Source organism: Homo sapiens, chromosome 11 (assembly GCF_000001405.40).
Source record: "Homo sapiens chromosome 11, GRCh38.p14 Primary Assembly".
NCBI classification, from domain to species: Eukaryota; Metazoa; Chordata; class Mammalia; order Primates; family Hominidae; genus Homo; species Homo sapiens.
Genome location: NC_000011.10, coordinates 113,471,245 through 113,475,528, shown reverse-complemented (window position 1 = coordinate 113,475,528; position 4,284 = coordinate 113,471,245). Strand labels below are relative to the sequence as shown.

Below are 4,284 nucleotides of genomic sequence, written 5' to 3'. Positions count from 1 at the left end.
GGCCGGGGATCGCCGAGGAGGTACAGCTCCTTTGGTGGGGGGCGGGGGCGGGGCCTGTCTCAGGGGCGGGGACCGGGGCACCTCCCTCCCGCGCTCCCCGCGCTCGGGCGCCGCAGAGCTGTCCAGCTTCAGTGCCGAACCGGCAGCCTCACGCGCGCACCGCGCCGCCTCCGCCCCGTCCCCGCGCTCCCTCCTGCCCGCCCGCCCCGCGCCCGGCCCCGCCCCGCCCCGCCCCGCCGCGGCCCGTCCACTGCTCCCCGCGGGCCAGAGCCGGCCGAGCTGCTGCCCGCCGGGGCTCTGAACGGCGCGGCGGGGCCGGGAGCCAGGGACCGGCCGAGGAGAGTGGCGGCCCCGGACGGCTGCCGGAGGGGCGGCCGCGCGTGGATGCGGCGGGAGCTGGAAGCCTCAAGCAGCCGGCGCCGTCTCTGCCCCCGGGCGCCCTATGGCTTGAAGGTAAGCACCGGCCGGATGGAGCGGCGGGCGACTCAGTGTCACGGGGAGAGGAGGAGGGACCTCCAAGGGGAGCGAGGCCAGGACCAGAAGTTTGTGCGGCCACTCCTGGCCGCCTGCTCGGGAGCGCCCGCCTGGGATCCGGCTCTGCATGGGCTCCCCGTCGGGCGGGGGCAGAGGGCGTCTGGAGCCCGCGGCTGCTATCCCCTCTCCCTCCTTCTCAGTAGCCTCCTCGCCACTTAGAAGGGAATCCTCTCCCCGAGCACGAGCGGGCGCAGCTGGGGCAGCCTCCCCGCGGGGCGCCCAGGGCAGCACGGCGGAGCCGCGGCATCGGAGGGCGGGAGGGAGGCCGCTCCCCACAATCTCGGGAGGGCACTTCCCCCAGCACCCAAGCGCGAGACCCGGGGCTCGCGGCCAGAGTTTCCGACTTCTTCCGGAGGAAGAAGGGCTGTTTTTGGCAACTCTGTGTTGGTGCGACCTGACCCTTTTCAGTTTCTAAGGCAGAAGCTAAGGATGGGGGAGAGGCAGATTCTGGCTGGATTCTCCCGCTCCCACGGTTGCCGCTGTCCTTGGTCCTGAACTTTCGTTCTCCTTCGCCTTCTCTTGGGTTGACACCTAGTCGGGGAGGGAGGCTTGGGTGCCAGACCCGTTTCTACCCGGCAGTGCAGGCGACGGTGGCGGCAGTAGCGGAGGGTGACCGCCCGGCTCTCGGCCCGGCTCTATGATGGACCGAGAGCCCCTCTAGGGTGGTATGCGGAGACAAGAGACACCTCTAAGCACCAGACAGAGCGCTTCCCTATCCCTGTCTGAGGCGGGCAGCCCTTGAGTGCTTCCTCTTGAAGAGCAGAGGTAAGAGGGTGCGTGTGCGTCTACATAACAGGCTTCACCATGGACACAAGTCACAGCAGTGCAGCTCCGTGGGGACAGGCGCTTGCTCTCAGCCACAAGGAAGCTGTCTGAGCAAGTCACTGTTGCCCCACCTGACACCCCACTACTTTTTTTTCGGTGGCTCTTGAGGTTGGGTGAGGGGGTGAGGGAGTGAGGTGCAAGGCACTTTGTGGATCCCACTCCAGATCCTTCTGCAGATCCAAGCCTTTCTGTATTTTGACCAGGCTACAAACCTTTTAGGCCAATCCTTGCTCCTCCTTAGGGAGCTAGATGTTCAACGATTCTCCCCACTCCCACCCTGCTTCAAATGCAAATATGCATGCTTATCTCTGATTCATCCTGCAGCATTAGGACCACTTGAAAAAGAAATCATGCTTATCGTCTTTCCCTCATGCAGCTGTTTGATGAGGGTGGCCAGATAGAGAGACTGTGGTCAGCATGACCAGTTTCAAGAAAATCAGCAAGCTGCTTTCCTGGGTTTCAGTCCCTGCCTTGGACTTCCCTCCTTAGTGTTCAAAATTCCTGGATTATTTGTTGCAGGGGGTTTTGATGCCATCTCTGAATGCAGACATCTGACAAGGAAGTGGTTTGGGAGGGTTAGACCTAGAACCAAATGAGGGCCAGGGTAGTCCCAGCTCTTAAAGATCATTGAGTTCCTTCTACCTTCCCTGCACAGCCTGAGGTGCCCAGAAAGTGGAGAGGTTCTGATTTGTTGTAGAAGTCCGGGCAGCATTTCTCTAAGGGTTTTTTTCTTTTTAATGAATTCCCTGAGAAGCTGGTTAAAAATGCGTATTTTTGCTTCTTCCTTGAAAAACTGCTGAATGAGAATCTCAAGCGGAGGCCCAGGAAATTTATATTTTAACAATGTTTCTGAGTGATTCATGTGTACACTGAATTAGCAAATTACCTCCCAAAAAGTTGAGACTCCTTAGAGAGTCTGTATACATTTATTTTATTTTGAAAATGGAAATCAAGTTTATTTTACATAAAATTGGTAGCAGGTATTCTATCTGAGAAAATCCCTTGAAGATATAAAAATGCATTTCTAAGAGTTAAAAGAATCATGTACCTTGGCAACCATTTGCTGATATCTTAAATATTCCTAAATTTCATACATTTGAAATTTATAAAATTAAGGTATTTAATCTCACCCTTTGTCTCCTGCTGTTATACCTGTTAAATTCTTCAAGTGTGAGACTCTTGGTAGAAAGACCATCCCCCTGATTAAATCTTTGCTGAAATTAAGGATGCAATCCAATCTCCTCTCCCCCAGGATCTTCCTGGGCTTTTCTTCTTTCTAAAATTTTTGGCCCTTTTAAGGAATCACCAATATGGCTTCAGGTTGACTTATGTAAATACTAACTGTCCCTCTATGGGGGTCAACTCAGTGTTTCCCTCCTGCCCTCCCCTCTGGGTGAGTTATTGTCTTTCATTATGCATGTGCTGTGATCTGTTAACCTAAGTGCTCCTGAAATGCCAAGGAGTGATTAGTTCAGCCTAGTAGCACGTCATGCTCCCCAAGGCTGGTAGCCACTCATGCCCTGCTGGAAGTGACATATTGACTGTATTGATTTGGTTCTTTTGTTCCATAAGCAAGGAGGCTTGTAGGGGTAAAAAGGCTAGTAATGATGCTTGTGGGCTAGTTAGTCTTGTACCTTCACCTACAAAGGTGGATTATTTCTGTCTAGAAAATGCAATTATCTTGAGAATGATATAGGAGAATCTGAAATTGAGACAAACGCTTCTGTTCTTTCTTTGATACTATGGGAAACAAATGGGAACTTAGGGTCATTAGAAATATGGCCTCACATACTCCTGAGATTGTCTTGCTGAAGCCGGACTGGTCTGGGGTCACCATTCTCTGAATAAACAAGTATAAGGGGAAAGACGTGGGGACTCTGCCTGGAGAGAATGGTTTCCATCTCCCCTGCAAGTAAAAGTTACATTTTAGTGTTAACAAAAAAGTGTGGCTGTGAAGATAGCACTGTGTGTATGTGTATGTGTTTGTGTGTGTTTGCATACACGTGCATGCACACATATGAGCACATCGCCCAGGAGAGACAGATATGATGAGACTTCCTTGAGCCAATCCTGTGTTGGCACCCACCACTTCTCCCCGCTTTGTGGCTTAATACCTATGAATCTCCAACAGTGAAGGTGCCTCAACACCTAGGAAGAGAGAAGAATCAAGTTGAGGTTTTATAATGCCAGAACCCTAAGTCATATTTGTAATATCTCCCAGAATCAAGTTATATATCAGCAGGCTACAGTTACCTAAGAGTTGAGGTCTTGAAAATAGCTTAGAACAGCAGCCCAGTCATTTGCATTTTCCTGGGATATAGTTTATAGGACTTTAGATTCTTAGGTTATCTTCTTGGGCTCCTCAGAGGTCATGCCAGATGCCCCTGACTCCAAACAGGGAAGCTGTTTCCTTAGTCCAGAAATACAATGGTCTTTCTTCTTTTATTAAAGTTCTCCTAAACAGAACTTTTTCCAATGAATTTTCCAGTTTCTGAACACCAGGACTGGACTCAGCAACTGGAGCTTCTCCATCCTACCAGGTACTCTGCTTAGCAGAGGAGCATCCTGCATATAGGAAACACTCGGAAACCATGGGCAGCAGAAAGGACACAGGTTGATTCAACTTCTCAGCAGGCACCCTCCTTTGTAGGTAGCCTCTTACTTAGCTGAACCCCAGCACCATTTTCCCTCTTCTCACCTCCAGTAAGGCATTTTGTGGCCTTGGAAGGACCTTGGGATTAGGTATAAGCCCTTCTGCTCTCCAGAATATACCATGGAGCCACTAAGGATGCACAAATTGCTTATTTACCAATTTGAGCAGTAGACTAATGTTATCTCTGGCCTTTTAAATTACTCTAATGGTGTTGGAATCTAATATTAATATACTTTTGCCTCTCACCTGTTCCCATGACCAATGTAATTGGA

General features: G+C 51.5%; 1 protein-coding gene across 5 annotated transcripts in view; it reads left to right on the top strand.

Annotated features, from left to right (window-relative positions):
- Positions 131 to 4,284, top strand: part of DRD2 (dopamine receptor D2) — a 65,794-nt gene continuing 61,640 nt past the window's right edge. For 3 of the 5 annotated variants that reach the window (NM_016574.4, NM_000795.4, NM_001440368.1), the window contains exon 1: positions 131 to 453. The gene's annotated coding sequence lies outside the window, so the exon portion shown is untranslated. Of the gene's footprint in view, positions 454 to 792; positions 1,300 to 4,284 lie in introns of those variants that run through there. The other 2 variants (XM_017017296.3, XM_047426511.1) reach the window with 2 other exon arrangements.